A 22297-nucleotide genomic window follows, 5' to 3' on the forward strand; every position below is an offset into this window, starting at 1 on the left:
TTCCTCAGGGATCTAGAACTAGAAATACCATTTGATCCAGCCATCCCATTACTGGGTATATACCCAATGGACTATAAATCATGCTGCTATAAAGACACATGCACACGTATGTTTATTGTGGCATTATTCACAATAGCAAAGACTTGGAACCAACCCAAATGTCCAACAATGATAGACTGGATTAAGAAAATGTGGCACATATACACCATGGAATACTATGCAGCCATAAAAAATGATGACTTCATGTCCTTGTTAGGGACATGGATGAAATTGGAAATCATCATTCTCAGTAAACTATCGCAAGAACAAAAAACCAAACACCACATATTCTCACTCATAGGTGGGAATTGAACAATGAGAACAACACATGGACACAGGAAGGGGAATATCACACTCTGGGGACTGTTGTGGGGTCGGGGGAGGGGGGAGGGATAGCATTGGGAGATACACCTAATGCTAGATGACGAGTTAGTGGGTGCAGCACACCAGCATGGCACGTGTATACATATGTAACTAACCTGCAATTGTGCACATGTACCCTAAAACTTAAAGCATAATAATAATAAATTTAAAAAAAAAACTAAAAAAAAAAGTGGTTTATATACACAGTGGAATATTATTTAGCCATAAAAAGAATGAAATCCTGTCATTTGCAGCAACATGGATGGAACTGGAGATCATTAAAAAATAAAATAAAATAAATAAGGAAAAAAAACTGTACTGGCTTTTTCAAAATATTAAGGCTTAGCACAAGTGAAAAAAAGAATGCTGAAGCATGTTTAAATTTAATCAATTTAATGACACCTGTAATGACACCTGCTGTTATAAAATAGGATTTATCATAAATGCTTCAAAATAATGAGAATAAGTTGGCTCTGATGTCACAGTGTCAGCTACAAAAACTTAAAGAACACACTATATTACTATCGCCCTTGGTATAAAATATACCTAGTTGCTACTTAGCTACTTAAATATTTGCTATCCCTTGCAAAACTTTTAAAGCTCACATCTTTACAGGTCTCCCAACCCTACTTCTCTATACAGTTTATCTTGCTGATGAGTCAGTTTTCCCTTAAATGAAGATATATGGAGCATTTATATTTTAGAGTCTAAAGTTGAGAATGTAAATTTTTAAACTTTAAGGTTATATTTCAAAAAAAAAAAAAAAATGGGCACTGACCAGAGCAGCTGAGTGGAAAATCTTGCTAGTAACAAACCAGTACTTTGAACTTAATTATTAACTCACCTAAAAGAACCCCAGTTATTCTTCTTGCCATTACAGAATAGAGGCTCACAGGTATTTAGTCCACGTGTTCTCTAAATGTGACTTTAAAGCTGGAATATGACTGGATAAACAGAAAGGAGTATAGCTGTTATCCCAAATGATGCACTATAACCATTTAGCATTAGAGGCTTTAGATCCATCTGTGAATTAAGAGACAATAACTTACCAAACACTTTATTCTGTTTCCTTTGGGAGTAGTTAGAGCCCTTACACCAAGGCCCCACCAAGAAGGATGGAGGTGGTGGGACCCACTTTCCCAGCACCCACACTGCCCCATGCTTCTGTATTGTAACCACCTCCTCCTCACCCTCAGCTTCATAAGGGAAAAGCCAAATGTGCTATGATGAGCACGATGCATGTTTTCCATTGGCATTGTCTCCACCACCTACCCCTGTCTGTTTTTGGACACTGAGATTGCAATTTGTAGTGTGCCAGATGGTCTGACTGTAGCAAATAAGCACAGAGAAGTGGGGCCTGAGTGAAACCTTCCTAGAGATTAAATAATGGACCATGTATTGAGACATAGCAAGTGACACTCCAAGGTTAAAATAATCTTCCCTTTTAAATTGGCATTGATTTATGTGATGTCTGCACTGGAGCCCTAGACCTCAGCTCTTCAACTCACAGTGGCTTCAACAGTCACACAGCCCAGATTCTGCTGAAGCAACTACCCATGGGAGAATGAGTAACAGACTACTCATAAACTGCCCCTCCTCATTCCGAGCTCAGAGAGCCCATGGTTCATTTTCCGGTCCCAGGATCCTCACTTGCCCTCTGGCCCCCATATAGGAACTGATCTTTTCCTCTGCTATTTTCCTTATGTCATCTGGAGGGAGAAGCTCAGGTATGAGAAACCCTCTCTCCTCACAGCACAAATCCAAAAAGGGATGGAGAAGGAAAAAAAAAGCAAATGAGGAAGAAAAAAAAAGCAAATGAGGAATAGAGAGACAGCCTAAGGAGTGAGGTCAGGAAGATGGATATGAGTGTGTTTATGTGGATTTTTGCATGCCTACTTATGGATGCAAAGAATAAAAGGTAGATTTCTCTCTCTATCACAAAAATAATGTGCAAAACAGCTGCTCCCATTCTGCAAGATTGTTCGCAAAGAAGCAACAATGCTGAGCATATTCTTCCCCTCAAGGAAAATCTGCTCATGTTCCAGTAAACTGCACTTCATTGTTTCCAGCTCTGGGGGTTTTAATAAAAATTTGATAGGCTCTGTCAACTACTGAAGCCATCAGACCCACAGTTCCTTACTACACTTTAAATGGAGAAAAAAAAATACGTTTTATCTGCGGAGGCCAAGTGCTGGTGGATTTTATATTTGATGTTGTTTTTAAAGCTCCATATTGAAAATGCAGAGTTGTGTTATCTTACATCACCACACTCGGTCTCAGCTGTTGGAGATTTATGCTGTGCCTCCCAGCAACCAATTCTTGTATTCATTTCTCCAAATTATTGATCCAAAAAAAAAAAAACCAATTTGCTAGCAAAATAATCTATTTTTCTTTTCACATATTAAATCATAACTTCACTTTAATATCCACAGACTAGAAAGGACAGAAAGCCTTTATCCAAAATCCAATAGACAAGGCCTTTCCAAGCAGTGAGTTAAACCCAACGATGGCATATAAAGTGTAGGCTCCCTTGGAGACACTGCAGGCAACCTTCCTGGGCCCAGAAGATTGAGAAATAAAGTTTAGGTTCTAACTTCATTGCTCTCCTTCTCTGTGCCCCAGGCTCCACTGGCTTTGAGGAACGTTGTGGACTTAGGCACAGACATATGGACTTTCAGATGTTGGTTTGATTACAGACAGCCCCCCAACTCACCTGAGTCTTCCCTTCCTTTCATGACCCTCCACACTTGCGGCTGGTGAAATGGTTTTTTGCAGATAACTAAGAGGTTCGGCTTTGAGCCAGCCTTAGGCCTTATTTTCAAGTGAGCACAGCTTTCCTAGCCCACATATTATGTTTTAACTTGCTAGGGCTGCCACAACAAAATATCACAAACTGAGTGGCCTAAACAACACAAATATATCATCTCACAGTTCTGGGGGCCAGAAGTCAAGATGAAGGCGTTGTCAGGACCACGTTATCTCCAAAGGCACTAGGGAGGAATATCTTCCAGGTCTCTCTCCTAGCCTCTGGTGGTTCCTTGGCCATCTTCACTTCAAACTATAGCAATAGTGATCTGAATGGGTACCTCTGTATATTTTGTTGTCTAAATATTTCTGTACCTTTTAAGTTTTCTATCAGCACATGTATTTTTAATCAGAAAAATAAACTTAATGGAAAAACCACATGATTAGAGATTACTGGCTCATTTGCCCAACAGATATTTATTGAATGCCAGGGGAGGCTTTCATGAATGGCATTTCATAATAGTTGAGACTTGATTAATGACTAGTTTCTGGCCAGACAAAAAGGTGAGGGCAAAGAGTGGTGATCTGGAGGCTGAGATGGGAATGACCTTGGTCAGTTTAGGGAGCTGAAAAAAGACCATGACAGCTGAAACTTCTGAGGAAGAAGAGTGACCAACATGATGCTGGAGAGGGAAATGAGTTCAGGTCATGCAGAGATTTGAAGGTGATATTAAAGTTTTGAGAAATGGAGGCCAGAATGTCTTTTGAAGGTATTTCTCTGATCTTATGTAGAGAATATGTGTGTCAGGAAAGCAAGAGTGGATTGTAAAAGGCCAGTTAGAGACTCACTGCAATCCTGGCAAGACATGATGGTGGGCTGCCTGGGTATAGGCAGGTTGACTCTGTCTCTTAAGAGAAGAGAAAACATTTGGGGAGACAGAGTCAACCAAACTGGATGACTGATCATATACAAGGAATAAGGATGAGGGTGATTATATTAGTCTGTTTTCATGCTGCTGATAAAGACATACCCTAGACTGGGCAATTTACAAAAGGAAAACGTTTCATGGACTCACAATTCCATGTAGCTGGGGAGGCCTCATAATCATGGTGGAAGGTGAAAGGCACGTCTAACATGGTGGCAGACATCAGAAGAGTTTGTGCAGGGAAACTTCCCTTTATAAAAGCATCAGATCTCATGAGACTTATTCACTATCATGAGAATAGCACAGGAAAGACTCACACCCATGATTCAATTACTTCCCACTGGGTCCCTCCCACAACATGTGGGAATTGTGGGAGCTACAATTCTAGATGAGATTTGGGTGGGGACACAGCCGAATCAAGTGGTATTGAGAATGACACTCAGAGAGGAAGAGTTCAGGTTTTCTTTCTTTCCTTAATTGTTTTCAATTGTAGAATGGAATTCCTGCTCAATTTAACAAGAAAAACTCCAGAGATACATTAGAAAAAACTGATTCTTTTTCTCCCATTTCTGTACTAAACAATGTTAGCAGCGTGATGTAACTCTATTTTGTTCTCTCATATGTGTATTTGTTGCATTTTTTGTTTCAGTTTTAAACTTGTTGACTATGAATTGCTTCTAGAATTTACAAGTACATACATCAAGTAGAAAATTAGATATATGGGTCTAAAATTCCTAAGGGAAGTATATGCGGGGAATATAAATTAGATATATGGGTCTAAAACTCAGAAGGGAAGTATATGCTGGGTTTATAAATTTGGCTGTGTAAATATTACCTAAGCCACAAAGGTAAATAAGAGTGCTGGGGAGAAAGTGTTGAGTCACAAAGAAGAAAATCCTGAGGAAATCCAACCTCTAACAGATGAGGGAAGACGAAGTCACAGAGATAGGAAGAAACCAGGAGAGTAAGCTATCATACAAGCCAAGAGAGTGACAAGTGTAGCAAGAAGGTCGATTACTGAAGAGTCCATTAGAGTAAGCAGCAAAGATATTATTATTAACATTAGAGGGCCACATCAGTGGACTGATCGGGGCCAGTGTCAAATACATATGTGTTTAGGAGTAAACAGGAGTTACATAAGTGGTGTCAAATAAAAAATTGCACCTGACAAAGTTAAACAGGCAAGGAAGACATTATTCAAGGCTATTGCAATAGGAGAGAGAAGGTAGACTTAGTCTGAGCTCAATTCCACTGAAACAAAGTTCAGGAGAGTTTTTAAGTATTGATGTAAGAAAGAGAACACACTTCCTTGTGTTTGCTAATTGGCTTTACCCAAAGGAAGAGTAAACTTTCTCATATCTTTGTGACAGGAAGAAGGTTTACAACTTGGCACAAGGCTGAAGTTAGGCTCCTACCCTCCCACAGAGCCTGGAAGATAGTGGCACTATCTTCTCCATGATTACATTTTAAAGGGATGGCTCCCAGATCCTTGAGAAAGACGTTCCCAGATTGTAAAACTAACAGGAGGCTTTTAGAAAGATTTACATCTCAAAGGGATAGTGAAAGAACTTACAAATACAGATTTTCTAAAGCGATTGGTCTAGAAAAAGAGAGATCAGGGTATGGAATTAGGAACAAGCCTGTCCAAAGTTGATTCCAGCTGAGGGAAACATTAAGGCTGTCTTGGTCAGTGGACGCAAAAAGCACTAACTACCCTTTTGAGAAAATTGTCCAGAAATGGGAGGAAAGAGAGTAACTTAAGGGAAATGTGTGCTGGGGAACTATATGCTCTTTGTGTGTTAAGTTTAAAGAAGGTAGAATAGGTAGGTAGTCAGAGAGAGAAAGAGAAGTGTTAAAGAAATTGGCCAATTTTAGCTACATTTTACTTAACTTTACCAAATTGGCCAATTTCACCTGATAGCAATAGGTAACATTAATAAGGAAAATCTCCTAAGAAGGCAGAAGGCATGGGAATCAGAGGATTTATAGAGGAAACAGCCATGATAAGAGATGAGACAGCTCATTAACTACACCCAGATGTGCATGCACATGGGTTGGTACATTCATTAGCAGGAATTAGAAGTGGTGACTGAAGCCTGGCGCAGTCGCTCATGCCTGCAATCCCAGCTCTTACGGAGGCAGAGGCAGGAGGATAGCTTGAGCCCAGGAGTTCAAGACCTGCCTGGGCAATATACTGAGACACCATTCTCCACAAAAAGGAAAAAAATAAAATAAAATAAGTGGTGCCTGAGAACTTGCATTTTTTTCAGTGTAGTTACAGGCAAGGTCACTTGCCCAAGGACTGTAGAGTCTAATGTAGTGGTCTGAGAACAATAAAGAAGACTTGAGAATAGGGAGAGCAGATCAGAGATGCTCAGATACATGGAGAGGCCAGTTGAAGTGGCCAGATGTGGATTTGGAGTAGTGAGTATTTATCCCCAGAGGTGTGATGTTTCTCCAGAAGCAATCTCCTTAAGAAGTCACAAAGAAGATGCATGGGGTGTCCAAAGCTGGAATTATTTAGAAGAATATTTAACAGGAATATTTAACAACAGGCGAGAGAGACAAAGATGTCTGCACAAATGACCTAGTATCCATAAAAAGCGGTTACAGAACTATTATCTGACTGCTTATACTGTTACAGATTGAATGTGTTAAAAATTAGCGGATTTTTCTTTTGTATTTTAAATTGTTTTTCACCCCTAGGGAAATGATGAACATGAAGCTGGAGGCCTGAAAGGAGACAAGGTAATCAGATTTTTTTTTTTTAGATGGAGTCTTGCTCTGTTGCCCAGGCTGGAGTGCAGTGGCACAATCTTGGCTCACTATAACCTCCACCTCCCAGGTTCAAGTGATTCTCCTGCCTCAGCCTCCCAAGTAGCTGGGATTACAGGCATGTGCCACCTCTCCCGGCTAATTATTGTATTTTTAGTAGAGACAGAGTTTCACCATGTTGGCCAGGTTGGTCTTGGACTCCTGACCTCAGGTGATCCACCTGCCTCAGCCTCCCAAAGTTATGGGATTACAGGCTTGAGCCACTGCACCCGGCAGTAATCAGATTTTCAAAGTGAATAGAAGGGCCCAGTATTTTATACGGACTTACACATTCCCACGTAGGGGGCAGCCCCCTGGCAGCAGTTGGGTTGCATCTCTGGGAGGGTGTCCAGCCTGCAGTGGGCAGGGGCCTCCGCCTGCCTCCTGACCAGGCAGTAGGATTCGAATCTGCTTCAGGGTCCAGCAAGGACTGCTGAGTAGCAGTTGGCTATAAGAAAGAGAACATATCAAGGGGAAATTACTGTAATAAGATAAATGAAATCAGGACACAAGACTTGTTTTGTAATTAAATGTGAATCCGTGTAGGTGGCAAAAACAATCTGAAGACCCCTTTGGCAAAATGCCTCAAGCCCAGGCTCACTATTTTGTGTCTTCCTAATTACCAAAACATAAGCTGCCCTGGCAGCCATTTTTGGTGGGGTTTTATACTGTCCAGTAGTGGTTTAACCAAATAATTATTTCAAAATAGTTTTAAAACTAAGACACTGATAAATTTCCGTTGCATTCCCCTTGTCATTTGCAGGTTTAATTATCATAGCTGTAAAGATGACAGATTCACTTCCCCATTCAATAAGATGTTTCACTCCTGTTTGATTCTGAAATTGTAATGACCTTGGATTCCATGTGAATGTGCCATTGTCAGAAAAAAAATGCACATTAAATCTACAGGCAGAGATGAGTAGTTTGAAAATACTCTGAGGGAATGTGGCCTGTGAGTGCTACTTTCATTCATTCACCTGTAAAAATTCTCTAGATTGAGGGCAGGGGATTTTGACATGAATCCAAGAAAATATGACTTCTGTGTCTTATAAATCAGTGCAACCAATCCATTCAAAAAGTCGTACACCCATCACCAGAAGTTACTGCTAAAAGATAGTCTCACCAGAAACTAGGAGCTTCTTACAGATTGATGATTGAAAATGAAATTTTCTGCTAAATAAATAAATAAAGGCTTGACATTCTGAAAAAGACATCCAAAAATTGATTATACAGCAATGATAAGTCATTTGTGTGAGTTAGATTTTATTGCTAGTACATTAACATTATTTCCTGTAACCTAATAGCTAACAGAAACCATACGCCACCATAACCAACGCATTACATTTTAAGCAATGACTTCTGGACATATGCAGGCTAAGGGGAAAAAAAAGGAAAAGAAAGCCACAAAGCTTGTCACATAGGACAGCTGAGCAAAGAAGAGTGTTGTGACTTTTAAAGTATTTAAATGATGATTCATTTCTTGAAACAAAACAGCTGGGTTCTGTTTTGCTGTGTTCATTAGGAAACATATGTTACTTAGACATTCTTAAGACCTCACTGATGAGAAATTTGATTCTGTAAAACAGGTGTGTTTCAAACTCTAAGGACCTTTTCTATTGCTCAAAATCTTTTCTAATTGCTTCAGAATCTTAAGTAGAATTAGGAAAAGCCAGTGGCATAACTGTTCCCTCCTCTCACTCAAATAAATAACACAGAAAAGTCTACAGGGAACTTGATGCAGTACATGATATAAAGAGACACATAAAAAAACTTTTAAAAAGCGTGATTAACAGGAAATTGCCAATAAACAATGCATAAAATAAACAAAAATTACAGGTGGTAGCTCGCACCTGTAATCACAGCACTTTGGGAGGCCAAGGCAGGAAGAACCTTTGAGCCCAGAATTTAGACCGGCCTGGACAATATAGTGATACCCCATCCCTACAAAAATTAAAAATATTAGCTGGGCATGCTGGCAAACACCTGTGGTCCCAGCTTCCCAGGGAGGCTGAGGCAAGAGGATCACTTGGAGCCAGGAGGTAGAGGCTGCAGTCAGCTATAATCACACCACTGCACCCCAACCTGAGCAACAGAGCAAGACCTTGTCTCAAAACAACCAACCAAACACAAACATGAGCATAGCAGTTGCTGGAAGGGTGAAATCAACTCTACCTATGTAAGTCTACTTAGTATCTCTTCTGAATCAATACATTAGTTTTTAAAATTATAATGTAATTTAATGTAATGTAAGTCACCACAGTGAAAATTTAAAGCTCCATCAAGCTGTTCTCAGAGATCTCTGTTGCACCTGTGGCGAACCCCAGTGCTTCTGAATCCTGGCTGCACATTGGAATCACGTGGAAAGCTTTGACAAAATACCCACACTCAGGCTCCATCCACAGAGACTCCGATTTAGGGTAGGGGTCTTATCTCTATTTAGAAGTGTTTCAGATGACTCTAATACACAACCAGGGCTAAGAACCACTGAGTAATAGGAAGAGCATGAGCTTTGGGACAAAAAGTTGATTGTGGCATTAACAGCTAGGTCACCTTGGGAAGGCCACTTCATTTCTCTAAGCATGCATTTCCTCATTCACACCATGGGCAGAATTGTATCTACACAAAGAGTTGATAGAAGGATTAAAATTAAATAAGAGGAAGTTACTCAAAAGCGCAATAACTAAAACACATATAAAGCCCTCACTAAAGATTTGTTCTTTTCTATTCACCCATCTCAATCTTTCCTTCCTCTCATGAGGTCTCATTTAGCACTTTTGAGGATTAATTGTTGTTCTCATTCTTAGCACCTGGTCTTGCTCATCTTTGTATCTCCCACCATAATTTTGACAAAGAAGGGACTCAGTTTGTGCTGTAGAATAAAATATTTAACCAGAAGAATAATTAAACACATAAGTGATTCACCATTCCTTTATAATATGCTACTTCTCAATGCACTGACCAGCAAAATAGAATTACTAAAAGAGCCAACCCTTTGGAACCCGACACTACAATGAAGCACCAGGACAAGCACAAATAGCACTGGAATATACACACCAGTCACCCCTGGTTTAGCAGCCACATCCTGTATCAAGAACACTACGATACAGGGAGAACCACGACTTGCAGTAAATGGCCATGGAGACCATCCACATGACCAGTCTACCAGTGTGGAAATGAACGATCCCTGCTCTGTGGCTTGACTGAGACTGACAGGATGTGGTGAAGGGATAATGTACTTGCAAGTTACTTGAGGAGAACTGCTGCTTTATAGAGACAGTAGAACAAAATATCAGAATATCTTAGCCCTCCTGAGAAAATAGCAGGTGTCTTGTGAGGAAGACTGTCAGGGAAAAGGTGGAGTCACTACAGCACCAAGCTAATAGCATCGAAAGTGTCAAACTGAAGGAGAGTCTTTCCTAATGCAAAGTAACTTCATCACTTGTGTTTCAACTCATCTCTACAGTGATAAATCACTGAACATTCAATTTAAATAAAAAATACAAACCCATATGTGTCTAAGGTTCAGGTAGAAAATGCTTTTGCTTGCAGAATTTTATGAGGAAAGAGGTCTCTAAGATTTCCTTCCAGCCCAATGTCATCCAACGACTATGTGGAAAGATGGACTGCAACCCCTTTTTTGTCCTGCCCCTGTTTACCTGTAGAGCAGCTATGAATATACTTACTTTTATTTCACCATGTACATTGTCCTCCCCTTCCCCTTTGATATTGGCAGATTTGATTTTTACAAGCAATTGCTAGACTCCTTCTCAGCTTTCTACTTTTATTTTATTAGGCAAGTCTAACTAGTAGGCATATTTTTCCTTCACACCTATACAATGGAAACTGTAGCACCTACCAGATGGGTAACACGAAGGTCACTCTGTACACCCTAATGCCTATACAAGTCTAATTGTTTATTTTCTCTATCAAACCAACAACAATTTGTTCCTAAATGTATCCCCCAACTTCTCCCTTGCCTTACCTTGAATATAATTTACTATGTCTAGGAAAAAAAATGGCTTCTCTTATAATGTGGTAAGAATAAGACTGATGATACACAGGATGTTTAGATACTACCATAGAAAAAAACAATACTTACGTAGCTTCCTCTGAATTAGGAAAAAGCCTGTATACAGCACACTAAACTTTAAATTTGATGGATATTGCTTCAAAAGGCACATTGAATATTTAAATTAAGAACGTGAGTGAATTCAGAGAAAAAATAAGCTACATATATATAGGTGGTATGTAGACATAGCGAATATTACACAGTTGGGATGCGGATGACTGAACTTTGGGAAACACTGCTGTAGAATATTTGTACTGACAGGTCTGCAAGTTGGCTTCTTATCCATTTGGTTCCTTGGCTCTCCAACAGGGCCTTACTATTACTAGCTGAAAGCCTAATGGTATAAAAAATTAGTACTGAGGTGAGTCAGAAAAGCAAACACTTCTTTCCTAGTATCAACTCTCACAGCACAAAATACTTCTATGACCAAATACATGAATTTTTCACACACAGCAAGCAAGCAATCAGTTTTGCAACAGACACCAGCTGATTGTCTTCTAATTCCATTCAATTCTGACACTATTTACCTGGTGGTAGCAACAGATCCCACAGATTGAGGGCTCAATCCCACAATGCTGCCTTCCACTTCATATGCCAATCGAAAGCCCCGTGTTGTTTTATCTGTGCTTTTGACCAACTGGCTATAAATCGGGGTCCTTATGACCCCGTCCGCGGCACTAATTTGCTGGAATGGCTCACAGAACTCAGGGAGATATTTACTTACGCTCACCAGTTTATTATAAAGGATGTTACAAAGTTTACAGATGAAGAACTGCATAAGGCAAGGTATGTGGGAAGGGGTGCCAAGGTTCCAAGCTTCCATGCCCTCCCTGGTCATGCCACCCTCCAGGAACCTCTAAACTTCAGCTCTACAGAAGCTCTCTGAACCCAGTCCTTGTGGTTTTTATGGAAGCTTCATTATGTAGGCGTGATTGATTAAATCATTTGTCACTGGTGACCAAGTTAACCTTCAGTCTCTCTCCCCTCCCCAGAGGTTGGAGGTGAGGCTGAAAAGACTGTAATCAAGCCTTGGTCCTTCTGGTGACCAGCCCAATCCCGAAGCTACCTAGGGGCTGCCAGCTACCAGTCAACTCATTAGCATACAAAAAGACGCTTATTGCTTTGGGGATTCCAAGGATTCTACGAGTTGTATGCCAGGAAACTGGGAGGAAGACCAAATATGTATTTTACAATATTGTTATCAAGCAGATGGGCTCACTGCCCACTGTGCACCGAAGCCAATAACTATGGCACCAGCTTTTCAGAAAAGAAAGATTGTATTGCAAAATCAGCCAGCAAAGAGACCGGAATTGGGCTTAAATTTGCCTCCTGGATTTGGGGATTGGGGCAAGTTTTAAGGGATCAGAGGGCAAGGGACGGGATTTAGGGATGTTAGTTTGGCAGAATCTGATTGGACAGCTTCAAATTTGACCATTTATGGTAAGGTATGTTGAGGCAGATTTTTGCCCTGGATATTCCAGGCTAATGGACTTCCATGCTTCTGAAAGAGTTCAGGTTCTGGTCATGTCCCGGTCTTCTTGGTTCCACCCAGGGGGTGGAATTGTTGGTTCCAGCTGTTGTTACAAGTCAAAGCTTTTTCTGTTATGCGTGCCTAGGCTGCATGACTTGCAGTTTTGGGCTCTGTTATACCTTAAAGGTAACTTGACATTTTGTTATCAACAGAGTAGGCCCTGTTTGGGCTGGTTCCACAGTTATACTATCACATGAGGTTTTAAAATTTTAGTAAAATTAAGATTAAATTAAACAAAACGTATTCCATAAATCTAGAAGACTAATTAATACAAACATGATCTTGTCTATCCATTACAGAAAATCACAAGACATGGATTAGGATATACATATAAAAATAAGCCAAAGATTTTAGGGCTGTAGTAAATTTATACTTGAAGCACTTTTTGGTAGCTGTTTGAGGCTTCAAAATGAACAATTAGGCACATCCACAGGGGTCAGGATTAGAGATGTTCACTGCAGCCTTGTTTATAATAGAGAAAAGCTGATTACAATCAAAGTGCCCATCGGTGGGGCTGAGATAAACGCTGGTTTATTAACATGTTAGAATGCTACTCATCTGTTATAATGAATGAATGAGATCATATGTATCAATAGAGATGGATATTAAAAACAATGCTGAGTGGAAAAAACAAGTCATAGTATGTTATTTATGAGATAAAGCTATTTATGGAATTTGTTTCAAATATTCAATAATATATTGTTTATGATTCCACATATGCAGTAAAAGTACAATAATATAAACTGAAAATATAAATACTAAATTCTTGAGAGTGGCTCCCTCTGGGTGGAAATAGGAAATATAGGGGATTTCTTCTTTGTAAATTTTTTAATTTCTTTCATTTTGGGTACCTGGTACATGAAGGCTTGGTGTATTCTACTTTATTATGTTTTCTGTATTTATTCTTTTGAAGTAAAAAAATAGGCCAGGTAGGCAAAAACGGTATATGCTCAGAAATGTAATGGTGAACATCATTTTGCAAAAATGCTCTTGAAGTTAGGGAAAAAAAATCAGCATTACATATCTTCTAGAGACTATGTTTAATTTAAGAATTGTGTAGGTATTCAGAGATCTTGGTAAACACTAAAAGGATGCACAATGCTGAGACTCCTCTGAAGTCTCATTAGTGATATAACTCCTTTCTTAAGTATTACTTCTCAAATTATATTTTCCAAAAACACTCTTTATATGTCACATACAGATCTCTCTTCAAGGTTTTTGACCAGAACCTCTTAGACATTTCTAAGCTACTGCTGTCACCACATCTACAAGAATGCCTTATTTGCCCACAGCCAATCATCTAAGTAGCATTATAAACCCTGGAAACAGCTGAGAGACTCGTTTTGCTTCATATAACTGCTGACTCTGCCCACCTAAACAAAGAAAAAAGTGCCTGAAATAAAATGAGTCTGGATTATTGTGCCAGTTAAACAGTCTGATGTCTTTGAGATCACACACAAAAAAAATTGGTTTTGGCACACCAGAACAAAATTATAATTTTTCTCCTCTAGATAGATATTCTTTCCTGGAAAAATAATTAACTTTGTTTCACATTACATTTAAGTATCATAATGAAATATATGGATTTCTAAAAGACATAAAGCCATTGTGAAGTACTGACAAACACATTATCATAAAAATAGCCTAAGTAGATTCAGAACTTTGCATTGTCTGTTGGATGCTAATAGATAAATTGTATAGTTAGCAGGAGAGCAAGCAATCATTCTGTATCTGACAGTCACAATAATGCTTCTCTAACCATCTGCAAAATCTCTCTTCTGCTTTGTCTTGAAAGGGTGAAACTGGACTACCAGGATTTCCAGGGTCTGTTGGCCCTAAAGGACAAAAAGGAGAACCTGTAAGTATTTTAGCTTTGAGGACAGAGGAAGAATATCTAAAAAACGGGATTAAAAATACGTTTCCAAATCAGCCCCAATTCCACGTGCCTTGGTTGATCCTGTCATGGGAAACAACAGATCAGATCTTCAAGCAAGTACTAGCTACGCTATGCACTAAGTCTCTTACATGTATTTACACACTTAATCCATAAAAAGTTTCCATAAGGTCATCTATTATCACCTGCATACTTCAAATGATGAAAGTAAGGCATAAAGAGGTTAAAAAACTTTGCCCAAAGTCACACAGTACTAAGCATTGGAGCTGTGAATCACACCTAGGTGAGTTGATTCTAGAACCTAAAGTTTAAAATCACAAAGCTCCTCTGGTATAACTAAACACTGCAGCTAAAATAATAAAATCAATGTATCAAAAGACTAGTACAAATTTATCCAAAAGAAATTGGAAACACATCTTTCTGCTCAAACAACTGTTCTCAGTGTACCTTCTGAAGTTATTTTTCTTTCTTGATTTTTGTATGATCAAAGTGGCTTCCCAACCACTTTTTGGTATTACTGTGGCCAGTTTCTTTCAAAATGTAGTTCTTTTTGTGGGGAAAAAGAGAAAAACCCTACAGTATCATTTATATTCAAATAGGACCACCTAAAGTGATTAGAGAAATCATAGGTACAAAAAATGACTTGTTTTAATGCTTCTTTTAAAAAAGCAGTTTTCAAGAATCAGTGAGAATCAGGCTTAACAAATGTTTCATCTTTGTTTAAAGAAAAGTAATACATCTTATTAAACCACTCTACCCCTTTCTTTACGAGACTGAATAAAGGATATTGGTTTATCAGGGGATAAAACATGAAGAGGTCACTAAATTGCCTGCATGACAAACAGGAACATTATTTAAAGTATTCAGTGTTACAAAGCCAAATTTTCCCTATGCTTCAGCTTTAAAAAATTAACAATGACAGTAATTTTTGCAGCTTTAGAATCAGTCTGTGGCCTATGTACCCCAGTTCTTCTACCTTCAGGAGTCGTGCTTGCCCTTAGTATTCAGTTCAAGCCTTCTTACACAACTACAGGATTTGGCAGTCTTTAATGAGGTTCTCCAACTGAGTATTTGCAATAATGTCTGGAAAATCTCATGTCTCAGAAATCCAGCCTGGTGCATGCCCCTGGTACCTGCCAACTCTCTAGGTGCTCCACACTTGGAGGTTCCTCTTACCATCTCTTAGCTGCTTCTCTAGGTCTCCACTGTCTTCCCTCCAAACCTGAACACTGACACCAACCTTCTCTTAATTTCCACATGATGCATGGAGGACCCTGCAGTAAGATTAATAAAAATTTTACTGGAAAATCGAGGATTTTTAGAGCAGAAAGGAGAAACTTTCAGTGAGTTAGAGCGGTGCTTCTCAAATGTGAACATGCACTTGAATCCCACTGATTCTAAGTCAGTAGGTTTGGAAGCAGGACCAGAGAGTCTGTGTTTCTCATAAGCTCTCAGTAATGCTGGTGTTATTGGTCCATGGACCACACTTTAAGCAGCAAGGGTTGAAGGAGTTCATAGTTCCTAGGAGTCATAGGCCTTTTCCTCCTGCAGGGATTTCCTCTGGCTTTCTTTCTGGCTAACTTTCAAGGGCAGTCCATGTATCTCATGAGGACTGCCTTTAGCCCTGTTTTCCTTAAATAGAGCTTCTTTTCCTCCTAACTCTTCTCCATACCAGGTCCCTATTCATCCCTTAATTATCCCACCACCCCATACATCTTTACTTGCCACCTTCCTCTACCCCTACATTAAAACAACGCAAATTTTACATTATTACGGAGAGCAGTTTAGCTTTTTATGGTCTCAAACTTTCTCTTCCAGAACAGGATGTAGACTTTACTTTGCATAATAATCAGAAGGCCCAAACAGAAGAGTAGTATTCATTCAAAGGTAAATTCTGAACCACTGATCCCGAATGGTAACTAAAATGGCAAATTTTCCCCCACCATAGGACATTCAGAATATGGTTTGATGTGTAACACATCAGAGCTAAAATATACTTAAGATCACCTAGTTGAACCCCATGATTTTATAGATAAAGAAAGGGGAGCTCTAAAAGATTAAGTGACTTGCCTCAAATAGTAGCCATTGGAGCCAGGACTAAATATCAAGTATCTAGACAACTAGGCTCCCGGGTTTTTCTCTTTTTTTTTTTTTCTTTTATAACCAGTTACTTTAGTCAATGTGGCCACTAAACTTTACAGTGGCTGTAAATAAGCAATGACATGAGCAGTGTCATATAAGCAAAAACAAGCAGGGAAATAAGAATATAAATAAAGCCTTGATCTAATATATAGAAATCAACCACTATTAAGATAGTTCATCATGTTGGGTAGATATGGGTATATAGTTGTCCCTTGGTATCTGTGGGGGATGGGTTCCAGGACTCTCAGAGGATACCAAAATCTGAGGATGCTCAAGTCCCTAATATAAAATGGCCTATTTTTATTTGCATATCACCTATGCATTCTCCTGTATACTTCAAATCATTTCCAGATTACTTATAATATATATTACAATGTAAGTGCTATGTAAATAGTTGTTATACTGTATTATTTTTAAAATTTGTATAATTTTTATTGCTGTATTATTTTTTATTGTTTTTCTTTTTCAAATATTTTTTATCCACAATTGCTTGAATCCATGGACACAGAACTTACAGATATGGTTAACCTCTTCAAGTCATTTTCATTAAAGTAAAAATAAAAACTAGGAAACTATTTTTAAAATAATGAGTTTGTATATTTAAGCACACAATTAACCAACTGGAAGAATTCAAGTGAATGTCTTTCCCTTCAACGTTTTTATCAATTTCTTGCTGTCATTCCCATTTCACATTCAATTGGATGTGTGTGTGTGATCGTTTTCTATGTGGACTAGGCAATAGGAAGCTTTGGCCTTGGGCAGCATTCCAATTTGTCAGCCACTTGGGATTTTATAAATGATGTTAGAATGATTAACTCATTGTTCATTTGGGAATATAAAGGAGTTTTTAAATTAATTATCATATATTTCCTTTAAGCTGCAAAGACAGACTGTGTGACACTCTGGGTATTTTTGGAGGTCTGTTTGCAATGGGAATCTGAGTTTGGCCTATAGGGTTTATCCACACCCCGGTTTGGAGAGTTTATTTCTAAGAGCGTTTAATTCTATTTTCTACCCCTTCTCCTTAGGGAGAGCCTTTTACAAAAGGAGAAAAAGGAGATAGAGTAAGTAGATATTTTATCACTACCTTGGGTTTTCTACTTCATTGATTTGTTTCTCTCTGATTTTCTGGTATGTTTACTTTGGAGTCTAATAGATTTGATTAAATAAGGTCCATGAGCATTTTACTTTTTCCTCTGTGATTTTTAACTCTTTTATTTTGATAAATAAGAAATTTTAAGCCTTGTTAACTGTTGTCATGCAAGGAGACTTCAACATTGGTTTGAGTTTTCTAATACATTGTTTAACCAGTTACTAATAGTGATTGGACATGAATGTTATACAAGACATCCATGTAGGATATCAAAAATATAAAATTAAAATAAAAGATACATTTTTTTCCAAAAATTCTGTTAATGGCACAAAGTGGATTTATCAAATATATTAATAAGTCACAGAAAATTTAAAAAGCAAACTTATTATAGCCAGTATCATCCTCTTTTGTATAACCTTAATTTTGTTGTGATTTTTTTCATTAAGCACATATAACTAACCATTAAGCACATATAACTAAAAGTAGAATCACCAACACATATTACCTTAAATTCTACTCTCCCTCATTCTTTCTCTGAAGTTTTAATTCTCTGGGACATGAGATTAGTTGGTGTCAAATTATAACTATGTCAGCTAAGTAGAGAATGCAGTGATTGCTAATGGGACATGATAATTAGTGTCAAAAATGGCATTGGGGGAAAAATTATTATAATGAAGAAATCAAGAAAGTATTATTTATTAGTAGTAAGTATTTTGAATCATGTTTTAGAATGAACTCTCCTTGATTTTATTGTGTCTTCCATAATTTCCCTTTTTATTGTATGTTAATTAGTAGAAATTCAATTAAAGTATCAGAGATGTCCATTTCCATCTGAATTTAAGCATTACCCTTATAGTAATTATTTTATTTACAGGGAGAACCTGGGGTAATAGGATCACAGGGAGTAAAGGTAATTTCCTGGCATTCTTCAATTTCCTCTCCAACCTTAATGAGATTATGAAAATTAAAGAAACATTGATCTTTCCTTCCCCCCACGTGTTTAGGGTGAACCTGGAGATCCCGGACCCCCTGGTTTAATAGGAAGCCCAGGACTAAAGGTATATAAGAAATAACTAAGATTTCTTGGGAAATAATTTGGGAATTGTAGCCATTCTGTGTAAAACATGGTGCTTTGGTATGCCACTCATTTTCTTCACAAATGCTCTCCAAGACTTTATCCTGTTTCCATGGTGATTTTCCCCACTGGCTGCATTTATTACACGCATAGTAACTGTCTTTTGGTTTTCACAATAGGATTTCTATACTCTTTTTCAGAGCATATTCACAATAGCATCCCTAAAAGCCTTAAGAGTAAACAATGTGAGCTAAATCTACGACCTTGAGCTATATTCTAAAAGGAACAGAATTCAAGTTTCAGTTTCTAAACCAAAATTATGCAACGTTGAGTTGCTTGAGTTTCCCAAGTGGGATTCCACAGGAGTGTCCCAAGAGAGCAGCTTTTGGAAAATGCAGGAGAAATTAATGTGGTGTACTCCCAGACAATGGGTAGGGCAAGTTACCAGGTATCACCTGCTGGTGAGAACACATAAATTAAAAGTATCTGGAAACTATCTTGGTAATCACAAAGCACATTTCAGTATTATACAGATAAAGTGGGAAAGTGGGATGGTGGAAAGTTGGTCTTCCTATACATGAAGATCACACTATTCTTTACAAATACTCAGGTACAATCTATCTTTTTTTTTCTTTTTTAGCAAAGCTAAAGTATATACCACCTTTTATTTTAGGGTCAGCAAGGATCTGCAGGCTCCATGGGACCCAGAGGACCGCCAGGAGATGTTGTATGTATAATGTCTTTGATATTTCTGGAATTGAAATTGAGACTAGGACATGTTTTTAAAAACATCAACATGTGTTCAAGTAACTGAGTTATCCCTCATTTCCCAAAGACATGGGTCATCTATGCCACAAAAACTGATCATACCTAATGTCAGGAGCTATTGGGAAGACTAGACCCTTCATATAATCATGTGAGGTCCTTTTGAGTATCATTAGCCTAATAAATTGGTTTTTGGAGCTCAAGTTAATCAAATTGTCATTTTGGACATGCTTGTCAGTGCTGTACCAGCAGTAGAGGAGATTGGAAATGTCAAAAGAAATAAAGAACACCAAAAGAGAAAGCAAACATTTTCAATATTCACAGTTTTTAGTTCAAGTCTCCATCTAAGGAAGACATTTCGAAAGCTTCTATCATTTTCTAGCAAAAGCCTTCCAAAAAAAGCAAGTCTTTTGGCTAAAAGTATGTCTGGAGGAAGATCGACAGATTGCATTATAACCTAGCTTTAGTGGACTTAAAATACTCAATACACCTTTCTATTCATTATCCGGATCAGCTTTTTGTTCCTTGGACAACTTTCTAGCCTTCTGACAACTTGGGAGCTGCGAGCTCTCCATCAGTTCACACTTGAGCAAAATAAGAAAAATCCTTGGCCATAACTCCTTGGAGACTGATCACTATCTGACTATGATTAGAGTTCCCTCCAGGCAACTCTTAGGATCTCTCCTTTTTTCATGCCCTGGGAACAGCCCCTTAACCTCACATTCTATTCTCCATGCTCACCGCTTGAGCCTCTCCTGTCTACTAGTCGGTGCACATATTCTGCTTGGTACTTTGAACACCCAGTTTATAGAGCAAAGCTTTTGATCACTCCCCTATGCCAAGTAATGGGCCACTGTAGATAAACCTAGTGGACAGATCTTATGAAAAGAGAGATAATCCTGGTGGCACAAGTGGAGCCACAATGCTCAAAAACTGAGACTAAGTGATAGTGGCCAGAGCTATAAAAAGAACAAAATCTAAAGGGAAAGAGCCACTGTTTCTAAAACATAGTAAAAATATATTTTTCTAGTTGCCCTAGAGTTCTTTGGAATCATTATGTGATGCTGCCAACCACCATCCTTCCTCGATGGCAATAATATGGGTGAGACGTTCGGTTCAATTCGACTTTAGTTTCTTTCCTATGGCATCCAGGTGGCTTCACTTGAAACAACAAACCACGTAGAATCACTAATATTTTTCCAGGTCTTAAAGGCCAAAATCAATCCAACTCCTTCTATTAATAGGTTATATGTTAAAATTCTGTTCTCTTGACAGAGATTCACAGATATAGGGAAATGTTATTGTAAGAGATGTTCTCATTACTCTTTCCTATTAACTCTGAGTTTTCTAGGGATTGCCAGGAGAACATGGTATCCCAGGAAAACAAGGCATTAAAGGAGAAAAGGTATAGTTTACATTTTCCTCATTTTATATGTTAAGTAGATAGGAGGAAGAGACAGAGGATCATAAGGGAGATGAAAGGACAGCCCAGGGCTTCTGGGATTGTACAGATTGTGCACATTAACTACAATGTAAATGGCACCCCCTAGAGTTGTGCATTTGGCAGCCCTGGTTCTGGCACAGGAATGCCATGTGACAAAATGAACTGACAGATGAAGATATCAGGAGTCTGAAAGTCAAGCTCAGTTACCAATCCTGGTATAAACCTAAGAAGTCTCTTAATCTTGCAGGATCTGTTTCTTGATATCTACATGGAAACAGTGCATTAACGTTGAACCATTATTGGAGAATAACTTAAAGAAAACATAAAGATCGTCTATAGAAATTTATTAATAGATATGCCCTTTTGTGCATACACATGCATATGTTTCATGATACTGCTAACATAACTAACTGCAAAATCTAAATGCACTGAACAGGCATGAATTAGGTACTCAATAAATATTATTGAGTGAGTTGGTGAGTGAGTGAGTGAGTGAGTGAATGAATGAAGTTTGACTGGCTATGATGACAACTTAAAACAATGGAAACCACTACCTCCTCACTTCCCACCATGAACCTGAGCATCAAAGTAAGAATCTTACCTTGTTTTCTACAGGGAGATCCGGGTGGGATCATAGGCCCTCCCGGGCTTCCAGGTCCAAAAGGTGAGGCTGGTCCTCCAGGGAAAAGCCTGCCAGGGGAACCAGTAAGTATTAGCCCTTTTGTTAATATTTTTCTTGCAAGTTCATTAATTACTACTTGTGGGTTCCTAGTTTCAGATCACAAGTATGGGAATAAGTTTAGGTCTGCAAAAAAAGGAAAAAAGAACTTAAAACAGAACTACCATTTGACCTAGCAATCCCACTACTGGGTTTCTTTTCCCAAAAGAAAATAAATAGTTCTACAAAAAAGACAGATGTATTCGTATGTTCATTGCAACTCTATTCATAGTAGCAATGAGATGGATTCAACCTACATGCCCATCTACAATAGACTAGATAAAGAAAATGTGATACATACAACCATGGAATACTATGCAGCCATAAAAAGGACAAAATCATGTCCTTTGCAGCAACATGGATATAGCTAGAGGCCATTATCCTAAGCAAATTAATGCAGAAACAGAAAACGAAATACTACATGTCCTCACTTATAAGTGGGAGCTAAACATTGGTTGCACACCAACATAGTAGAGATGGGAGCAAAAGACATGGGGGACTACTGATGGGGGAGAGTTGAAGGGAGGCAAGGTTGAAAAACTGTCAGGCACTATGCTTACTTCCTTGGGTAGTGGGATCATTCACACAATAAACCTGAGCAACATGCAATTTACTCATGTAATAAACCTGTACATATACCCCTGAACCTAAAATAAAAGTCAGGGGAAAAAAGAAATAT

General features: G+C 38.5%; 1 protein-coding gene across 8 annotated transcripts in view, besides 1 other annotated feature; it reads left to right on the top strand.

Moving 5' to 3' along the window:
- Nucleotides 1-22297, top strand: part of COL19A1 (collagen type XIX alpha 1 chain) — a 345913-nt gene that overhangs the window by 256847 nt on the left and 66769 nt on the right. For 6 of the 8 annotated variants that reach the window (NM_001858.6, XM_011535437.3, XM_017010254.2 and 3 more), the window contains 8 exons: nt 6780-6821; nt 14283-14345; nt 17552-17587; nt 18491-18526; nt 18621-18674; nt 19365-19418; nt 20808-20861; nt 21516-21605. In NM_001858.6, the coding sequence (NP_001849.2) occupies nt 6780-6821; nt 14283-14345; nt 17552-17587; nt 18491-18526; nt 18621-18674; nt 19365-19418; nt 20808-20861; nt 21516-21605 (429 nt within the window). The remainder of the gene's footprint in view (nt 1-6779; nt 6822-14282; nt 14346-17551; nt 17588-18490; nt 18527-18620; nt 18675-19364; nt 19419-20807; nt 20862-21515; nt 21606-22297) is intronic. The other 2 variants (XM_047418188.1, XM_017010253.2) reach the window with 1 other exon arrangement.
- Nucleotides 11809-12310: an enhancer, noted in NCBI's record as "OCT4-NANOG hESC enhancer chr6:70845103-70845604 (GRCh37/hg19 assembly coordinates)". NCBI's record gives its function as "activates a minimal SCP1, AML or CMV promoter by ChIP-STARR-seq in naive H9 embryonic stem cells {active_cell/tissue: H9 hESC(naive)}" and the evidence as "EXISTENCE:reporter gene assay evidence [ECO:0000049][PMID:30033119]".

Source organism: Homo sapiens, chromosome 6, assembly GCF_000001405.40.
Source record: "Homo sapiens chromosome 6, GRCh38.p14 Primary Assembly".
Lineage (NCBI taxonomy): Eukaryota > Metazoa > Chordata > Mammalia > Primates > Hominidae > Homo > Homo sapiens.